Source organism: Homo sapiens, chromosome 11 (assembly GCF_000001405.40).
Source record: "Homo sapiens chromosome 11, GRCh38.p14 Primary Assembly".
NCBI classification, from domain to species: domain Eukaryota; kingdom Metazoa; phylum Chordata; class Mammalia; order Primates; family Hominidae; genus Homo; species Homo sapiens.
Genome location: NC_000011.10, coordinates 116639366 through 116659676, shown reverse-complemented (window position 1 = coordinate 116659676; position 20311 = coordinate 116639366). Strand labels below are relative to the sequence as shown.

Sequence of the window (20311 nt, the reverse complement as noted above, 5' to 3'; positions counted from 1 at the left end):
TTTCCTGACAAACTAGGTAGGTTGGCCTTTCTCTTGAGGACCCCACATCTCGCATGTTTGGAAGGAGTGATGTGGTGAAATCTGTGTTTTTAGGAAGAGCGTGTTGGCTTCTTTGGGGAGAGGAGACTATAGAGGGGTATAACTGGAGGAAAGGAGACCAGGAGAAATGTCTCCTGGGTGGTCCAGGTAAGAGACGGTGGGGGACAGGGTGGAGGTCGAGCTACTGAAGGAATAGCACCCAGACAAACCAGGGAGCTGGATGTGGCATGGCTTGTCGCCACCATGCTTTGGGCCAGACAGAGCTGGACGCTAGGGGCCTTCTGGGACTGTCCCTGGGTGACGAGGTGGAGGGTGGACTTATTCACTAAGAGGGAGGATGAGAGATTCCAGGAAGATGACGGTGAGCCCAGCTTTGGACAAGATAAATGGAAACATGCGGGTGCTGTGACCAGCAGGCAGTTGGCAATGTCCAGACCTAAGGGAGAGGTCTGCAGCTGTGGCGAAAGGGGCATCTGAGGTAGGGTGCAGATGAGAGTCCCAGGGAGGCAGAGGGTGGAGATGAGAAGAGAGAAGCAGAGGGTGGAAGTGGCCGCCTGGGAAACAGCATCATTAGGAGTAAGGAAAGGAGCCCTCACAGGGGGTGGAGGAGGTAAAGTTGGAAACAGCAGGGAAGCCTGGGGAGCGCCAGGTCATGCGGCCCGGAGAGTGACCTTGAGAAGGTGTCACTGCCGTCCAACACCTCAGAAAGACTAAATGAGAAAGACCCAAATGAAGTCATTGTTTCTGGCGACTGTGGTCCTTGGCGACCTCTAGAATTTTGCAGTGTTTGGGCTGTGGGAGACTGATGGGGATATTGCATTTGGTTCTTTTCCACAGGTGGTTTTAGAAGCCACTGTATTCCAGTACGCTGTTGTGTCCTTGGCTGATAACACCCCTCACCCCCATGCCTACAACCGGGCTGTGTCTCTGGGCTCCAGGGAAAAATAAAAAGGGTGGTGAGAAAGAGCCACTTCGTAAGAAACTCTGTATGGCATTGGGGTGTGAGGTTGCGCAACTGAGAGGCCTCCAAGAGGGTCACCCCGTAAGTGGGGAGAGAAGAGGGGATAGAACCTGATGTTGTTGCCCAGAGCAACATGGCCTCCTCTCTTCCCTGGCTGCACACACTGGAATACACTTCCCAGCCTCCCTTGCAGTTAGATGTGGCCACGTGACTGAGTCCTGGCCAGTGGGATGTGAGCAGATGCTGTGGACCCTTTCAAATACGGCCTTGTATAAGGAACCTCCCTTGTGCAATTCTAGCTCTTCCTCCATTTGCCAGCAGAACAGAGAGGATTCTGGGGTCTTGGAGAAGGGTGGAGCCACAAGATAGGAGGAGACTGGGTTTACGAATGACTGTGTGGAGCTGACTCCCCACTGGGCAGTGCTGTGAGCACCAGATAAACTTTTATTGTGTTCAGCCAAGTGAGATTTAGGTGTTTATCCATACAGCAACTAGTGTCACCTGAAGGGATACAGAGATTTTTCTCCCTTTTGCTGGCAGCTGCCATGCAGATGTGACACTTCAAGGCTTAAGAGCAGTGCTGACCCTGTAGGGGTGGAGGAGACTGGAGGGGAGGTATCCCGGAGAAGTATGAGCACCACCAGCAGATGGGGTGGTAGCTGATGCCTATACTTGAGCATCTGTGGCACCTTTCCTGCGTATGGCCAGAAATACCACAATCTTCTAGGGATGAACCTGCAGTTACAGTGGGGCAGAAATGCGGGTTATTACTTTGTGCAATCCCTTTGCATTTAGTGTGTAATGTAATAGTGCCTGGTGCATAGTGAATGCCTATTCAGTGATATTTACGGCTCTGAGGCTGGTTGAACGAGGGAACAGGTTACACTGGATGAAGTTCTGCTGAGTTTGTACCTTCTTTTTCCCTGTCTGCCTTTCTCTCTCAACTGTGGTTCAGGACACACTGTAGAACTATAAAATGGAAGCTGGATGCAACCTTACAGGTGACCTGATTTCTCTTACATGTTGTATGTAGATCGGGAAGTTGACACAAGTGATATTAATGACTCCAGATCTGGCTTTGGAGTTAGGCCAGGAGATGGCATTGTATCAGTGTCACTGCTAGGGCACAACCCAGGTCTTCTGCTTCTCTAGCCAGAGTTTTCAAAATCAGAAAACTAACAAAATAATGATTTTTTAAAAAGAAAAAGAAAAGCCAGGCATGGTGGCTCACACCTGTAATCCCAGCACTTTAGAAGGCAGAGGTGGGCAGATCACGAGGTCAGGAGTTTGAGACCAGCCTGGCCAACATAATGAAACCCGGTCTCTACTAAAAATAAAAATAAAAAAAATTAGCCCGGTGTGGTGGTGGGCATCTGTAATTCCCAGCTACTCAGGAGGCTGAGGCAGGAGAATTGCTTGAACCTGGGAGGCAGAGGTTGCAGTGAGCAGAGATCACACCACTGAACTCCAGCCGGGAGTTCCAGAGCGAGACTCCGTCTCCCAAAAAAAAAAAAAAAAAAGAGATACCAGTTATATTCCCAATGCCTAGAGAGACTGCCATTGTTAACATTTTAGTTTATACCCTTCCAGTCTTTTTTTCTTATGTGTGAATGCACATAACACATTACATATCTAGAGTAATGTATATGCAATATTTATACTACATGTAGACTATACAATATATTCTGCATATTCCATATGCATTATAAATATAGAATATATTACCTATAAAATGATAATATTCTGTAGATACATGTAGTATACTACATAAATGTATATACTACGTATATACATATTAATAGTATATAATATTAATAGTATACTACATAAATAATATATAATACTACATGTAGCATATGATATATTCTGTGTACACACATAAAATAGAAAAATAAACTCATGCTATATATATTGATTATAACCTGCTTTTTCCACTAAGATCATAAAATTATTTTCCACATTATTAAATACTATTGTATAATGTTTTATATGGCTGTATCATTTAATCCTTGTTGTTGAACCATAAATGTTTCCGTTTTTGCTGTTATAAAGAGTGCAATAGTAAATGTTTGCTATTGCACATTGATTTTTTTTTTTTTTTTTTTTTTGCAGGGGGCTAAAGTCCTATATGTGGAATTTTTGGATCCAAAAGTAAGAAAGATGCTAACACTGTTGATGTGCGTAGACAAACCGATCTCTGCAAAGGCTGTGCTAATTTAAGCTCCCATCATTGGTGAAGGAGGTGGCCCATTTCCTCATACCCTTGGCCGGAACTGGGTGGTGTCATTTTTCCAAGGGCGCCTCTCATTCCTGAGTGGTACCAGGGGAAAGGAAGCAAGCCTTGTTCTGGGCCTTCATGTCTGTGCCTCCCTGGGGTGGGCAAGCATTGGTGGGAGGCCCAGGCTCAGCTGGAGGGCTGGTAGAGGAAGTGGAAAGTAAAGATGGGCAAGATGGTGCTCAGAAGAAGGTGGGCTGGGAAGTCTCCCTGGGCATCTGGCCACCCTGCTGGAGTTCTGGCTGTGGAGCCCAGTGATGTGGCCACATGAGCCTTGCTCTGGGCAGATGGGTTGGGCCAACAGAGTGCCAGAGATGGGACTGGGAGAAAAGGTGGATGAGCATGGAGAAAGACGGACACCACCAGTCGTTGGCTCCAGGAGCTGTAACAAAAGCAAATATTTGGAGGCTAGGATTGCTTAGCTTTCTCCTTGGAATCAGCAGACTCTCGGAGGCTGGGATTAATTTGAAGAAATTTACTAGCAGAGTTTGTGGCAGATAAAACAGTTTGCTTATTTCACACTTGTATGGCCACCTGCTAGGAACTGTTTGTTCAGTTTCGAATTCTTTAATTAAAATCAACATAAAACAGATTGAAAACATCCCAAGAAGGGGATGCTTGATTTGCTGGAGGATATTGCAGAAAGATGGAGCAAAGTGGCTCAAAAAGTGCTTCATCACCAAGCAAGCGGGCGGCAGGGAAGTGCAGCTTGGCTAACTTTGGGATTCAAGTGTGTTAGTGTGTGTGCCAGAGGCTGGCAGGAAGTGCAGAGAACTCACGTGAGTTTTCGTCCCACTTTGGGCATTTTTCATGATAGTGGTGGGCTGAGGTGGAAAAGTGAGAGGTTTTTTTTGCTTCTACCCCTTAGAAAAGGCCACTTCCACATTCAATCCTTCACTAAATAGTCATTGAATTCCTCTATGTCAGAAATTGTGAATAACATGCAACCCTTGACCTCAAGAAGCTCAGGATGGGTGAGGGAGACAGCAATTTTAACCCAGTACATGCTATGTGCTGCAGTAAGAGTTAATTCTGGGTGCCATGGGAGCCCCCAGTGCTGACCTGTGGAAGAGGCGAGGAGCTCAGGTTAGATTTCTAAGAAGATATGACATCTACCTCAGCTGAGATCCAATGAGTGGATAGAATTTACTCAAGTTAAAATGATGTATCAGTTAGCTACTGCTACAATATGCTGTGTAACAAACACCTACCATTTCTCAGTGGCAAATAACAAAACCATTTATCTGGTTCGTGTGTCTATGTATTGGTTGAGGGTCTGCTGATCTTGGCTGGGCCTGATTAGGCAACTCTGCTCCATAAGCCTCTTATCCTCCTCTGGGACCACCAGCCTAACCTGGCATGATTCTCTAATGGTGACAGAAAAAGGAAAAGAGAGAAAGCCCAATCACACTTCTTCTAACATTCCACTGGCCAAAGCAAGTCATATGTCTGCACCCAAGGTTAAGAGGCAGGGAAACATATTCCATATATTCCACCTCTTTAGTGGGATAACACACACATACCCAGCTCTTTGGAATGGTGGCCATTAATGCAACCCATCACACATAGGATGGATGTAGTGGTGGTGGTGGGATGTTACAGGATGAGGGACAGCATAAGCAGTATGAGGCTGGGCATGCTGGGCACTGTCTGTAGGAGCGTGCATATGAGGAGGGGCTTGCAAGACTCCTGGAAGGGCATGCAGGAGAAAAAGAGAAAGGTCTTATGTGTCAGCACAGTCTTTGGATTTTGTCCCCAGAGCAGTGAGGAAGCACTGGTGGGTTTTAAGTGGGGAGTGACATGGTCAGATTTTGCCATAGAGTCATCTCTCTGGCTAGCTTTCATAGTGGAGAACAGAGTGGGTAGGACAGAGGTTCAGGGTTAGAAGAGCAGTTGGGAGCCTTTCAGTAACCCAGGCTTCCACGGGACCTGATTTCATGATCAGGAGACTCAGGTTGTGACATCTTGTTTTTATAAAGCATTTTTCCTGGATGCTTGTTAAACTTTTAACTCATGGTATGCCAGCTCATAGCAAAAAGCCCTGCTGCTGTTATAGCAAATGGAATCAGTGGAGATGGTTAAGGAGTAGGAGGCTTGCTGGTCCTAACACATCCCATTCACTTTGGCCTTGACTCAGTAACTGGTCCCCTGAACCTCTCCATCATCTTTTCTCAGGCCCCACAGCTCTTGAGCAGGCAGAAGCTAGAGGCTGGTATCCTGGGTAGAAATTGCTCCACTCGGCCGGGCGTGGTGGCTGATGCCTATAATCCCAGCACTTTGGGAGGCCGAGGCAGGTGGACCACTTGAGGTCAGGAGACCAGCCTGGCCAATATGATGAAACCCCATCTCTACTAAAAATACAAAAAACTAGCCAGACATGGTGGCACACATCTGTAATCCCAGCTACTTGGGAGGCTGAGGCAGGAGAATTTCTTGAACCCAGAAGGCAGAGGTTGTAGTGAGCCAAGATCGCACCACTGCACTCCAGCCTGGGCAATGGAGCGAGACTCCATCTCAATAAAAAAAAAAAAAAAAAAGAGAGAGAGAAAGAAATTTCTCCCTCCCTTCCCCAAGCCCCATTCCCTTTGGGTCCAAGTGTTGCAGACGGTCTGCATACACTGCTGGGCACAGGGACTGCCTGTTGGAGATCTTGGGCCCTGGTGCCTGTGGGGAAGGCCAGCGCTGCAGGCTCTACCCAGTGCCCATTTCCTGACACCTGCTTTTAACGCCTGATTTTGAGCTAGCCACTTTACATTTTGCATCCATCCCCTACTGGCTTGGCATAGTGGGAAAGACACTGTAGTCAAAGACCTGGGTTTGGATGCCACTTCAGCTCTCTGCAGATCCCGGGATCTTGAACAAGTCACCAGAGCTCTCTGGGCCTCGATTTCCTCGTTGTTGGTTGATCTCAGCTGGTAAAGTCGCCAAATGTGGCCATGGGTGTGAAAGATCCTGGAGACCCTCTCACTCCTCAATTCCCTGCCCGGACACCCCCACGCATCCTGGAAATGGCAGCTGAAACCTACCTTCTCTTCCTGGAGGGCCCAAGCAGACCTCTGCCAAAGCTCCCCTGGCTTTAGACAGCTCCCACGGAAATGAAAGCCTCTCATCCGTGTGTTCTTGTATCTCTGAGCCCGCAAGCCCTGGCACAGGACTGGCAGCTCACAGGTAAATACATGTTGAATATGGAATGTAAACTCTTTCTAGCCTAATCTGGACTGGCAAATTCGCCCACTCCTTCTCCTTTCTCTTCTGAAGACACTTCCTTCCTATGCCTGGTGCTCAGGACTGGGATTCGCTCCGCAGGTGCTGGGCAGGCCTGTGTTTAGATTTCCCCTTCCTCCTAACCTGCAAGGACCTTTGTAAAGCACTGGCCCATGGGAACACAGAGGACTGGTTACGGCTTTGCAGCTGAGGCCCAGGATTCAAGACATCTTGACATCGCTGCTCACTGGCTGTGGCCGGGGTAACTCACTGAAATCCTCTGAGCTCCAGTATATGCATCTAGAAAACAGGGATGCTAATGATTTTATGGCTATTGTTAACTGTCTGTTTTGAGCAGTTCTTGTGTGCTGGGTATGAAAACCATCACCACCACCACCATTATCACAGTGCTGGGGCTGCCAGTTCTTGAGAGTTTGTTATGGTCCTGGCAGAGTTGACTTTATGAAGAATAGCTCATTAACCCACACAAACTCCCCCAAGACCCCCTTTCTTGTTTTAGGGTGCCTACCTGCCTGCTTTGCTGGTTGCTGTGAGGAGCAAAGGAAATGACGTGTGTGTGTGTGTGTGTGTGTGTGTGTGTGTGTGTGTGTGAGTGAGAGAGAGAAGGTAAAGGGGTGGGAAGTGGGGAGATAGGCATGAGGGGTCTGGATGGGCCCTCCTACCTTGTTTTAGGAGAAGCAGCTCAAGTAAGAGAAAACTGTTTGGATTCTGGAGTTGAAGAGAGCAAGGTTTGAATCCCAGCTCTGCCACTTTCTACTGTGAAGTTTTGAGCCAGACACTTAGGCACTTTGAGCCTCAGTTTCCCTATATGCAAAATGGGCTAAGATTCCCCACCTTGAAGATGAACGAGATGAGGACAATTACAAAGCAGTCAGCAGAAGGCAGGAAGCACATCAGATGCACTACACTAAGCCACTTGTAAAGTGGTTAGCGGGTAACCTAGTTCATAGGACATACTCAGAAATGAAACTCACTTTCTGTGCTTTTGTTTTTATTTGGTCATCATCAAATGGCTTTTGAGGATAGGTAAAGAGGATTACGGTCATCCAGAGGAGAAACTGAGGCTCAGCAATGTCAAGTGACTTGCCCAAGGCCACACAGTGAGCAAATCACCAGGTAGATCGTGACTCCAGGCTTGTCTGACACTGGGTCCTGCCCACCTCCAGTCTTGCTGACTTTCCTGACCCAGCCACCTGCCTCCCTGACATCTTTGTGCCTGCCTCTGGGCCTGAGGCAGTGGCTGGGAGCCTGTGGTGTCTGGTGGCTAGCCTGGATCCTCTGTCCTTGCCTGGCCCTCTGCACCCCATGCCCCCCATCACCAGCTCCCCCGACTCTGCTCCTCGGCCGAGGGGCACACTGCAGTGAATCAGCCTCCTTTGTGGTGTTGATTAGAGGCCTCCTCCTACAAACATCAAAGCTTCAATTAACATGGGCCGCTTGCAACCCTCTTGCAAAACTCTGATAAGAATAGAATTTTCTCTTGGAAAATGGATTTTTATTTAGTTGTGTGTACTGTTGGTTAAATGACCTACTCTATACACTGGCGCTGAGATTCTGGGGACAGTGAGGGGGCTCGTCAGGAGCTGGTTATCTGAAGGAAACAGGCGCTGGGCTGTTTAGCTGTCTAATATCCTGACGGGCGGGGGGCAGAGGCAAATTGAAAAAAAAAAGCCTTCACTCCTTCTCTAGACATGGGGAGTGGAGGGTGGTGTGCTGAGTAGGGGCTTTGCGGGGCAGGAAGGTGGCCCCTGCTCTCCTGGGAGTGTGGCTGGGTTGGTGGGCTCCAGCCTTGCTCTGCTGGGTGTGAGTGTGTGTGTGTGTGTATGAGCGTGTGTGTGTGTATATGTAGGGTGTGCAGCAGTCTCAGATGCTGCTCAGAGCATATGCTGGCCTCAAAGAGGACCCAGGGAGCTGGCTGCCTGGGTGTAGAGGGGGCACGATTCAAGAACACAGCAAAGCTGGGCGCACCTGAGCTGGAGGCATGGGAGGCTAAGGCTGGTAGGCCCCTGACTTTTTTCATAATCACTCCTCTTATTAAACTTGGCCTTCTTCTAGAGTGGGATGGATTAATGTTCAGAAAATGCTGTCTCCTCAATCTCATTGCTTCTAGTGGAGGAAAAGAAGCACTCTTCCCCTGTCCAGGATCCCTGAGAGGCCACTGACTTAGGCCCCCATCAGTCTGCAATCTTCTTGGTTCCAAAGACCCTTCCAAAAAGGGAAGCCCTCAATTCCTTCCAACTCCCCTTCAGCTTCCATTCACCGACAGAAAAATTCTTCCTATTGTCTAACCATATTTCCCCAGCTGCACTTTAAGTCTGTCCTGAATGAAGACACATTGGACAGAGTGAGAAACTTAGGGTTAGGGGAGTGGCCTGCTTGGGAGAGGGAGAGTTTGGGGTGGGCACGAGGGTGGACAGCTGGCTGGGGAAGGCAGAGTGCAGAAGAGCTGGTCGGCAAACTGCTCTTCTTCCTTGAGTTGGGGAAGTCTGGTGTAGCATGACTGTATTGATTCAATTATTCCCTACAATGTAATACTCTGCATCTGTGTGATAGCAACAAACAGAGTTGAAAGACATACAAAAATAAATGATCTGAAAGTTAATATGGCTGAATGGGCATCTATGAATTCGAGGAGAGAGGTTTTGTTTTACATTGTAAAATCAATAGCGTGCAGAACAATGTCCTAACTTCCCCTGGGGACCCCAGTGAAACCCGCCCGTATCGATTGCCATGCAAATTAATTGAATTCATGAAATCCACATTGCTGGGTAATTGATGCTTCTTATAATTACCTCCAAGTTATGAGCTTTTAGGGGATTGCATTGATTCCTGGGCCGTGGGGAGGGTGAGGGGAAGAGGCAGCTTCCTGAAACTGCAGCCAGTGGCTGTCCAGGTGGGCAGTGGGCAGGTGGAGGTTGACCAAGGCTTGAATCAGGGTCATTTGCCTGATGGTGGTGGGAGGCAGGGGCGGGTGGGATCCTCATCTCACAGTTTGCTCATCCAGCCCAGGTGAAGCTGGGAGTTTGAGGAGACATGAGCAGGTACTCCTGGACATTTGAAAGGCCCCCTGGTAGGAAGGCTTCCCTGGCATCTGGGGCTCCTTGAGGGTGCCAAGACTGTCTTCAGGGAGTAATAACAGCAAACATTTATTCAGCATTTATTATGTGCCAAGCATTGTTCCAAATACGTTGCAAACTCATTAAATCCTACAAACAACCATGAGGCATGTACTATTGTTCCCTTTGGTTGTTGAAGAAATGAGGCACAGAGAGTTAGGTAAGTTGTCCTAGTGACAGAGCTGGAAACCTTGACCACAGGCTAATCCATGAATGGGCTTCAGGAGCCAACCCCCTCATATCACATGAGCAGTCTGCACTTTGACGCATGTGTGTTTCTCAGAGGGAGAGTCTGTAACTTTTATCAGGTAATCACTGATTCAAATATCTGTTATATAAACATTGTTTCTATTAATTCCTTATATTTATACAGTGATGAATGTTTTAATTCATTCTTGCAGGACATACTGTGTGACCTTGGAAAAATCACCTAACTTATCTGAGCCTCTTCTACAACTGCAAAAGCCGGAGGTTGGGATGGTTGTTGTCCAGGTCTCTTTGCAGCTCTGGCATCTACGGGTGATGCAGGGCATTTGCTCATATGGACCTCCCAAGAAGCCCTGAGCCAAGGGGGATGCTGGGCAGATGAGGAACCATAGACACGTTGGGACTAGGTCTCTTAGGGGGAAGCTCATGCAACAGGTTAGTGGCAGGGACATGAGGACAGGTGAAGCCGGTCTCCAAGCCAGGTGTACCTCAGGCCTCTGTTTCTTGTCTTCCTAGAGACCCTCCCATGGGAGTCAGCCAAACCCAAGGAGGAGTCTGGTGCTGGGTCCTGGAGCCTGCACTGCCATCCCTCTACCTTGGAGCCACAGGGCAGCACAGCCAGGAAGAGCTCCCTTCTCTCTATTGCTGCTGTTTGGGAAAGTTGTCTCCTCTTCCTGGGCTCATTGCTTTTACTTGCAGAATGAGTTGACTTTGGGAGCTGTGGCTGGAGCCAGGGGCCAGGGATGTTCTTGGCCACAGGGTGGGCAGGCTGGGTTGGAACCCAGAGGGAAGCAAAGGCTCTTAACAAGTACTGTCTCCAGGAAAGTACTTGTGTAATGCCGGCCCTCTTCTTCCCTGGGCTTGGCAGAAGGTGAGGGCTGGCCATTCATGTCACCCTTCCCTCTTCCCAGGCTCGGCTTTGGAGCAGTTGAGGCTGAGCTCCAGAGAGACATGTCTCCTGATTGGTGGAGTCTGGCCTGGTGGAGGTGAAGCACCATGAATTACCATCCACACTAGGGACCTGGCCTGGTTCCATGTCCTTGCCAGGGCAGCCTGGGCTGGCCAGGTGGCACTCACAGCAAGGAGACTGTGGCTTAGAGTTCAAGGTGGAGGCTGGAGCACAGGGTAGGAAGCTTGGTTGTGCCTGTGGCTGGAGCTTCTACCTGGCTCTTGAGGACTTGGTGCAGGGTGAATGTGGCCATGAGCCCCTCATTGGGCACTAGGCAGTGGTTCTGGCTCTCCATCTCCTGGAAGCTTTGGGACTAGAAATGTACTGACTCCCTACAGGGCAGCTGCCTCTGCAGAGGGGAAGTTGTGTGGTATGCTCAGAGGTTTCTGGCACTGCTACAGCCTCCTTGCCAACCCCAGCCCATGGTGTGAAGGCTCCAGGCTCTGCTAGGGTGTCCTTCCTGGCAACAGCCACAGTCTTGAGAGGGAGGACCTGGGAGGCTTCCCTGACTCATCCAGGCCAACAGGTGGCCAGCTAATAGGCATAATTCTCCTGCCTTGATCTCCCTGTCCAGATCAGGGGTTCTTGAATGACCTTGATGCTGATCTTCTGGACCCAATGACTCTTTAGAGATGGTAGAGATCTTACAAGATTATCTAATTTAACCTCCTCACCAAAATGAGGTTCAAAGAGGTCATTTGGCTTGTCCAAGTTCTCATGGTCAGTAGGAATTAGAGCTGAATCTTCAGTCCAAGCCTTCTGACTTAAGTGCAGGACTCTTTCCATGACATCAAAATAATCTCCCAGCCACTAGCCAGCCATCTCTCTGGGCATCTCTGGTGTGGGGTGTTGGTGTGGGTGGAGGGAGGGTCCTCTCTATCCTCCTCCTAGAGAATCGTAAGACTTCACAGGGGTCAGGACATGGTAGAAGGCTCCTGCCTCGCTGGCTGTGTCTTTGCTCCTGGCTGCTGGACCCCCTGAACCCTGAAGAACACAGGCTTCTAGACCTAGCTAGGACACCTCTCTCCCTCTCTTCTGGGGAGAACAGCCCGTTTTCCCTCTGCACACACTAGGGCAGAGACGGTGCTACGGCAGCCTTAATAGGGGAAGTTGATGAATGCATCAGAAATGTGTATAATTAAGATTGAAAACTAATTGTGGGATGGTTGATGTTTCTCTCTCTCTCCTCTCTCCCTGCAGGAGAGGAATTCTCTCTGTATATACTGAGCCCCAAGGAAGGAATAGGGTGAGGTCTGGCATGGGGCCTGGAGTGAAGGAGAGCTGAAATCTTCCTTCCTTCCTTCCTTCTTCAACTCACTCACCCACCCATCCACCTACTTACCCATCTGTTCACCCATCCATCTATCCGCATCCACTTATCTACTCACACATCCATCCACACACTCAGGCACCCACTTATCTACCCATCTATCCATCTACTAACCAGTCCATCCATCCATCCCATAGGTTCTTCACCTACATGCAGTGGGCACTGATGTGGGAGGTGTACTAGTGGGTACAGAGGTGAACACTGGACGGAATGATGCAGCAAGTGATCAGGGAGGAAGACAGACTCTTGCCTCATGTCAGAATTTCCTGGGGTTTCCAACAGTCAGTTATTCAAGGAGAAGGCCTCAAAAAGAGCATAGACTTATTCTATAAAAGAAGTCAGGATCCCCATGTTGTTTACATTTTGTGCTACAAGAGTGTATTTAGTGTTGCAGGCCCTGGTGAAATTTTCATTGCCATAGTTATCCTAAGCATTTGAGGAGAGCCTACTAGGCCCATTCCCCTGAGACTTCATTTAACCCAACCCAACCCAACAACCAAATGGATCCAGTAGAGTTGCTAGCGCCGTTTCACAGATGAGGAGACTGAGGCTTAGGTAAGCAAAGCAAACATGCCTCAGTGAGCAACCAGGGTTGTCATGAGAATGGAATGAAGTCAAGGCCAAGTTTTAGTCTGCAAACAAGTTGGAAGATTGATATGAATCAGAAATAACCAGGGTGCTTTTAGAAATATTTCCTCTTAAGCTTCGGTACAAATTGATTCTGCCCTTAGGGATATGGGCCACGTGGGAGTCAGAAGGCAAAGAAAAGCAGACCCACAGCTAAACCTGTTCTCTTGGCTCCAGGGGCTGGGTGGTGCCACAGCTTAAGGGGCTCCGACTTTGTGTGATGCTGCATATTTATTTTATCATCTGATTTTCGTGTAACGAGGCTCTACCACACCGTGAGAGTATTACCCCACAAAGTAGGGTTTATTATCACCATTTCACAGATGAGAAACTGAGGCAAAGAGAGTGAAGGTCACTTGTGTAGGATAACCCAGATAATAAGTGGGAGACAGGAGTTTGAGACCAGGTGAGGTAAATGCCTCCTTGTGCTTACTTCTACCCTGACCTGCCTGCTGCCCTAGATGAGCCACATAGCTGTATCTATGGGGGTAGAGCCAGGAACAAGGATGACCAATTCCCTCTCACTGCCTTTCCTGGAAATACTGAACAACCCAGAACCTGCCCATGCCCTACACAGCCAGGCCTGCTCTGAGTGTCATTCGGAGCTCCAGCTATGGCAGGACCTGTTGATGCCCTGCCTGGGTCCCTATGTCTCATCTCCTCACCCCACTCACTGCTGTGGGCACTGACTGGGCCACCGCTGTGGGTTTGATGCCCTATTGGGGGTTGTGGCTCCAGATTTAGTCACAGGCCCCGGTATTAGCTATCCACTGTAACAAATGATCCCAGAACTCAGCAGTTTAACACAACAATAAACATGGATGATCTGATCCAGTTTCTGTGGATCAGGAACTTGAGAGTGGCTTAGCTAGATGTTTTTGGCATGAAGTCTTTTGTGAAGTTGCAGTCAAGATGTTGGCTGGGGCTCCCATCTCATCTGAAGGCTTGACTGTGGCTGTGGGATCCACTTCCAAGATGATTGACTTGCATGGCTCACAAGGCCTCCTGGCTGCTGGCAGGAAGCTGCTGTTCCTTGCCCTGTGGACCTCTCCATAGGACTGCTTGAGTGTCTCCAGGGCATGGCTTTTCCCTAGAATGAGTGATCTGAGAGAGACAGACAGAGCCCAAGAAGAAAAGGAGCACTGTCTTTTATGGCCTGGTTTCAGAAGTCACTCTGTAACTTCTAACACATTCTTTTTACTAGAAGTGAGTCACTAAGTCTGGCCACATTCAAGTGGAGGGGAATTAGGGTTTGTTTTTTGTTTGTTTGTTTTATTTTTTTTTTTGGAAGGAACACTAAAGAAAATTGTGGACACATTTTAAAACCAGCATACTCTCAACTGTTCTTTTTGGCTGGTAATGGTAAGCTACCCAGCTCTTAACCAGACACCAATCAGAGCTCCACCAAAGGTTCTTTGGGGATAGTTCCTCCTGACTGTGGCTCACAGCTGCTTCTGATCGTGGGAGGTGAGGGTGTCTTAAAACCCCCCTTCCAGTCCATTTCTAGCCACTTCCTTTTATTCTAGCTCACTGTTTTCTATTTATTCTTAATAACAATGATAGCTACCCTTAATTGAGTACCTGCCATGTGCCAGGCAGTATACAGATATTATCCATAATCCTTAAATTCTGCAAGGTGGGGAAAGGCAGGTTCAGAAAAGTTAGGTGATTTGTCCTGGGCCACACACTAGTCCCTGGCAGACCCAGGGTCACCCTGGGCTTCCCTGGCCTGCCTGCTGCGGGCTCCTGCTGCCCCCTACCTGATGAGCCTTCCCCTTGTCTCAGCCCTGCCCTGTCTTCAGGACCTGGCTCAGGCATGGCCTGTCGGGGAGGCTCCCTCTGATGGGCTCCTGGCTGGCAGTGAGTGATCTGGGAGTCCCTCCATGTCACCATCTTCTCGTTGTTTGTGTACACACCTTGTTTCCCTCACTAACCCGTGAGTGTCTTCAGGGTACATGTTTGTCAATGGTCCCTGTGTCCCCCAGAGTGCCCAGCAAAGCACCTGGCACATAGCAGTACTCAGGATTTGGGACACAAGTGATTGGAATGGTCCCCCCGGCCAGACAGCTGAGATTCATCGCCTTTAGCAGGTCTCAGGGAAAGGGTCAGAAACCCAGGCTCCCTGCACCAGTCTGCCGTGACTTTTTCCTGCCTGTGCCCTGCTGTCCAGAGCCAATGGCCCGGCCCCCCTCACTTCAACACGGTCATGTGGGCTGGCTACTCCTGGCTGCATTGCTGCTGCCCGCCCCGCTTCACCCCCCTTTCTCTTATCATAGCTCCCAACTCCCTGCTCTTTCTTCCCTAAATTGATTCTCAGCAAAATCTCTCTTTATTCTGACTTCTCAGACCTCTTTAGGTTTGTTCCTGGAATCTTTTGTCCCTCTCCCTCCCCCAGCTCATCCGGGTCACTCTTCTTGGCCTCTGTCCCCACCCGCCCCTCCCCGGATGGTAGGACCTGTTGCTGCTCTCCTGCCTGTGTCCCCACCCCCTGCCATGCCCCTCCCTGTGCCCATCTCCCCACGCCCATCTCCTTGGCTCTCGTCTCCAAGGTTACGTAGCGAGTTTGCCTATCTCTGCTCCCTCTTCTCGCCTCCCATGTCTGAGTGGTTCCTCCAGGGAGGGTTGTGGGGGGTCCTGGGGGTGGGCAGTGGGGAAAGATAGTCTTCCGCCTTCCCCCTTTTCCCTGGCCCTGTAACTGCTGGTCCATCCTTTGTCCCTCTCTCCTCCCCTCCCTGCTTTGTAACCTTCTCTCGGTTTTTCTGCTTGTCTCTTTTTCTCCTCTTGTCTCTTTTCCCCATCTTTCTTTTTTCTCTCCTCTCTCTCTCAATTTCCACCTCTCTCTGTTTCTGAGTCTCTCTCTCTGACATGCTCGCTATCATTCTGTCTTTGCCCTCTTCCTCTCTGAATTCTTGTTTCACACTCACAATAAAGAATTATCCCAGCTCCAGTTCCCTGGGTGGGCCCTCATCAACATCCCATCCCGGTCTCTTTAGGTGTTGGTGCCAAACGGTTTTGCAGGAGGACATTGAAAGTCTGAAGCCCAGTGCGGGGCTGAGTTCTATTTAGGGCCGGTCATGAAGTGCTTTGGGAAGGGGAGAGGTATGCAAGCATGTGTACCCCACTTTCCAAATATATGCCAGGCCAAAGGCAGACTGGAACCCCACCCACCTTCTGTGTGGCCAGGCAAGCCTGCGCAGGCAGAGGCTGAGGCTGAGAGACACCCCCAGGTGTCAGGGAGAATGCCGTCGGCCCACCGGAGGCTCCTGCGGGCTGTCTGTGCTTGCAGTCTACAGGTGGACCTATTTCCGTCACACCAGACAATGCTCACAAAGAGCCCAGCCCAGAACCTGGCATACAGCAGGTGCTCAGTAATTGCGTGTCTCCTTTCTGATTGGGGTCAGAGGGAGGTGCACAGGGCTTCTGGCCTCCTTGTCAGACATGATGCACCATTCTGGAATAAATAAACCTTTTTTTCCAAGAACCTTTTGAGGGACTTTTCCAGAAAAATTAAGAGAAGAATTTTTTTTCCTTTCAGAAATGTTCATTCCCCTCTGCTGAAATTTTCCATTTTTCTGACTTTCATATCTGTACCTAAACATAGTAAATGGCTTCCATATTTTAACATGATCATTACATCTTAATGCATCTTTATGTTCCTAAAGTAATAGTGATCTTATAAAAGACCCTAGAAACAAGACTGTGCATACATTTGGACCCCCTCACATTTTCCCCTTGGCCTCAATGTTTCTGCCCCTCCCCCCACTCCCCCTGCTTTATGTCTCTAGAGCCCTGGGAGATCAGGCTGACATGACAGGTACTAGAGTCTCCTAAATATGGGAGTAAGAAGGTGGTTCTCAGCTCAGACCCAGCCCAGTCAGGCCCCATCTGTCCACCCAGGATGGTCAGGTCCAACCAGGCCCAGCCAGACCTTGTCAGATCCAGTTAGGCTGATGGAAGCTTCAGCTCTTAGTGTCTTTCCTGGCCCTGTAGAGGGATTCTTTTTGGCTTCTTCCCAAATTCTCAGGACAAGGTAAGGAATCAGGGTCAGGGATGGGTTCCTAGCTCAGGTCCCTACAGGAATAGGAGGACAATCTGTACTACTCTGCCATTCTCCCCTCCCCTACAAATATTTGGGAACATATCTTTACTGTGCGCTAGGTCTAGGCCATCCTCCAGCCCCTAGGAATGCTTCTTATCTTCTCTGTTGATCTGTTACAAGTGCCTTTTCAAAAATGGATGTATAACTCACCTCTTCCTGGAAGCCTTCCCTGATTAACTCCATGCATCCATTCAACATGCATTTATGGAGTGTCTGCCACATACCCTGGACTATAATGGACACAGGGAATACCTTAGTGAACAAGATAGATAAAGTTCCTGCCCCTATGAAGCTTGCATGGGAGAGACAGGGAGTAAACAGAAAAACAGCTACCATGGGTGACAAATAGGGGATCTTACCCTAGCTAGAGGGTCAGGAAAAGGCCCAGCTCACTCTCAAAGGAAAAAGACCTTGTCTTGAGAGGGAAGTTCTAGTCCATCTTGGCCACAAACTAGTGGTGTGACCTTGGGCAAGTCACCTATCTCTGAGCTTATTTTCCTCAACTGTGAAAGAAAGGGTCCCTTTCTGCTCTAGAATTACGTGTTTACTTAAAAGCAAATTTACTTTCAGACAGGTTTATAAACAAATTATTTCTTGAGACTTTGGCATTGTAGAAAAATGTGAAATTCTAATTACGCATAAAGAAAAAATAATAATCACAATGAAACAGTCAACCTAACAAAATCATTCCCATCACCCACAATTCCACCTCTCAGAGACAACTGCTCCTGGCATCTTGGGAATCTCAGCTCATGCGGAAGCAGGTAGCAAACTGTCTGCTGAGGTCCCTGGAGGTGTGCCCTCTCCCACTCACCCACCTCCTTTGTCTCTGCTCTGCCTCCTTGCACACATCGCGGCATGGAGTGGGGGACCCCAGCCAGCCCTGGGCCCTTTGGGGCAATGGCCCACAGTTTTTTCCCAAAGGCATAAGGCGTCTCTTTGGCTGCAGGGCTGCTCTGACATCTTGGGCCACATTTGATGGACAGTCCGCCCTGCCAGAGCTTGCTGGGTAGACCCTCTCCAGGCTCAGAGACGCTGTAGCAACGGAGAATGGGCAGCTGGAGCACCTGGGGCCCTGTCCACCCAACCGGGCAGGTGGGGATGCAGTGCAGCGTGTGGACAAAAGATGGCAGCACTGCACTACCTCAGGCCCGAGCTACAGCGGGCAGCAGGAGGGTTCCGCCAGGCAGGTGTATGTGCCAGGGTGTATGCCTCATAAGCAACCCCACCTGTGTCCTCCTCTTAGGACCCCCACCCTCTGCCCACCTCCATTTCATAATAACTCAGTGATACCCACCATTTATCAGGCGTGGACACCATGCTTGGCACTATGCTTGCCTTCCAAGGAACGCTTTGAGGTACCACCTTTTACAGGTGGGGAGCTGGGGCTTGGAAAGATGGAGTATCTTACTCAAGGCCACACAGTAGAGCTAGGATCCAACCAGGTGTCCCAGTCCTGGATTCTCTTCCTTCAGACCCCTTGGCCCCTACTCTGACAAGCCAGGCTGTTTTCTTCTGTTTGCACACCAGTCAGAGCCCTGAGACCCCTTCTCTGGGCTTCTGCTCCTGCTGTAAACCTTGGGTGCTGTTGGTGTAGCTGCTAAGCTCCTGAGTGTGTGGGGGCAGAGGCGGGTCGGCGCCTCGGCTGCCCTTGGGTGTGTGTCCTCCATGTGGGGCAGGAGGGGGATGGAATAACTCACAGGAGGCTGGTGCCCAGTCCTGCCTGGTGCTCTCCCACCCCCTGGCTAGTGCTGACTTGTTAGGCTGAGGGAGCTGACACCCTAACAGCGCCTGTCAGACTCCAATGAGTTGATGATGTGGAAACTGGTTATTAAGTGTAATAACAGTGGTTTGGTTTTTCCACAGTTCTGCCTGTAAGTGCCTAAGTGACAGCTGGCTTGTGCCATGGTGCTGCATGCTAAGTGGCCTGAGGATGGGGTACAGGGGAGGGTGTGAGGGGCTCTTCTAAGGTTCTGGTTGGAGGGAGGCCAGGAGGTGCTGTTGCCGGTGCCTCTTCTGTGGGTGAGGCCTTTCAGCCCATATGGGCCCTGGCTTCTTGGCCTGGGTCTGGGCTGGATGGAATGTATGGATTCGGGACAGCAAACTAGGTGGTGATGTGTCCCCAAACCTAATGGGTCCTCATATACACAGTCCCCCTCACTGACCTTGGCCCTGGATCAACAAGAACTGGATTGGAAATCTGGAAACTTGGAGTTTAAGCTTTGTCCCTCGTTGCTTGTAACCTTAGGGACATGGTTTAACTCTTCCAGTTGCCCAGTCTTCACAATGAAGGGTTTGAACAGGGTTAATTTATTCATTTAACTACAAGTGTCAAACCAATGAACAATGGATAGAAACTTTCTGTTAGATGAATGGATAAAGAAAACATAGTAAATACATACAGTGGAATATTATTTAGCCTTGAAAAAGAGGGAAATCCTGTCATTTGCAACAACACAATGGAGGACATTATGCTAAGTGAAATATGCTAAGTGAAATAATATGCTAAGTGAAATAAGCCAGTCACATGTATATGATGTATCAGAAATTGATTCCATGTATATGACATATCAGAAATTGTCAAACTAATAGCAGCAGAGAAAAGAGTTGGCTGCACCAACAGCACCCAGGGCTTGGAGCAAATTGTCAGGGGCTAGGGGAAGAGGCAAATGGGGAATTGTTATTCCATGCATATAGAGTTTCGGTTCTGCGGGGTGAATAAGTTCTAGAGATCTGCTGTACAACATAGTGCTTGTAATTAAGAATCTGGTATTGTGTACTTCAGAATTCCTTAAGATCTCATGTTAAGTGTTTTTACCACACACACACACACACACACACACACTCAAAGGAATATGAGAAACTTTGGGAAGTGTTGGATATGCATATTACCTTGATTGTGGCGATGGTATCATGGGTGTTTGCATATGTCCAACTTCACCAAACTGTACACATTAAATATGTACAGTTATTTGTATATCAACTATACCTCAACAAAGCTGTTAAAGGAAACTTGCTCTTAGACATATTTTGTTTGGCCTATACAGTGCTTTAAATTTAAGCACCCACATTTAATATTCTAGAATTTCTGATAGAGAGCCACACTTCTGACCTTCTTTCAAAACTGTAAGAATTGGTAACACTGGGCCTGCATGTCCACATGGCAACAATTGGCTGCAATCTTTCTCCCCTCACACGGGGTTTACACTCTCCTAACTTGCCACGGTCCCCACCACTCCCTATTGTATCCCCCACACAGGGGCTGAGTGCCAATGGCTATTGACTTATTGCACCTGATCCTCCTCACTCACCTGCATTCAGTGCCTGGCCCTGCATCGGATAGTCACTGAGGGCCCATTTTGTCCATGGCATCATGCTCTTTACATCAGAAATTATGATGATAAAGAGCTTAGAAGAGGGCACTGGGACCTGGGTATAATGAGATCATAGACATCTCCAACATCATTTTCAGCTGAGAATTCT

General features: G+C 49.0%; 1 long non-coding RNA gene across 1 annotated transcript, besides 4 other annotated features; it reads right to left on the bottom strand.

The window, feature by feature from the left end:
• Positions 1–1424: 1424 nt before the first annotated feature.
• LINC02702 (long intergenic non-protein coding RNA 2702) lies at positions 1425–20255 on the bottom strand. Its single transcript, NR_135069.1, has 3 exons — positions 20140–20255; positions 6624–6779; positions 1425–1735 (listed from the first exon to the last, which is right to left on the bottom strand). It is a non-coding gene; the product is annotated as a long intergenic non-protein coding RNA 2702 (long non-coding RNA).
• Positions 7767–8512: an enhancer, noted in NCBI's record as "VISTA enhancer hs1632". NCBI's record gives its function as "enhancer in: midbrain (mesencephalon)[11/12]" and the evidence as "EXISTENCE:transgenic organism evidence [ECO:0001131][PMID:17130149]".
• Positions 17294–18123: an enhancer, noted in NCBI's record as "H3K4me1 hESC enhancer chr11:116512271-116513100 (GRCh37/hg19 assembly coordinates)". NCBI's record gives its function as "activates a minimal SCP1, AML or CMV promoter by ChIP-STARR-seq in primed H9 embryonic stem cells {active_cell/tissue: H9 hESC(primed)}" and the evidence as "EXISTENCE:reporter gene assay evidence [ECO:0000049][PMID:30033119]".
• Positions 17937–18036: a silencer, noted in NCBI's record as "silent region_3920". NCBI's record gives its function as "represses an Ori minimal core promoter by ATAC-STARR-seq in GM12878 lymphoblastoid cells {active_cell/tissue: GM12878}" and the evidence as "EXISTENCE:reporter gene assay evidence [ECO:0000049][PMID:35858748]".
• Positions 18124–18953: an enhancer, noted in NCBI's record as "H3K4me1 hESC enhancer chr11:116511441-116512270 (GRCh37/hg19 assembly coordinates)". NCBI's record gives its function as "activates a minimal SCP1, AML or CMV promoter by ChIP-STARR-seq in primed H9 embryonic stem cells {active_cell/tissue: H9 hESC(primed)}" and the evidence as "EXISTENCE:reporter gene assay evidence [ECO:0000049][PMID:30033119]".
• Positions 20256–20311: the final 56 nt, after the last annotated feature.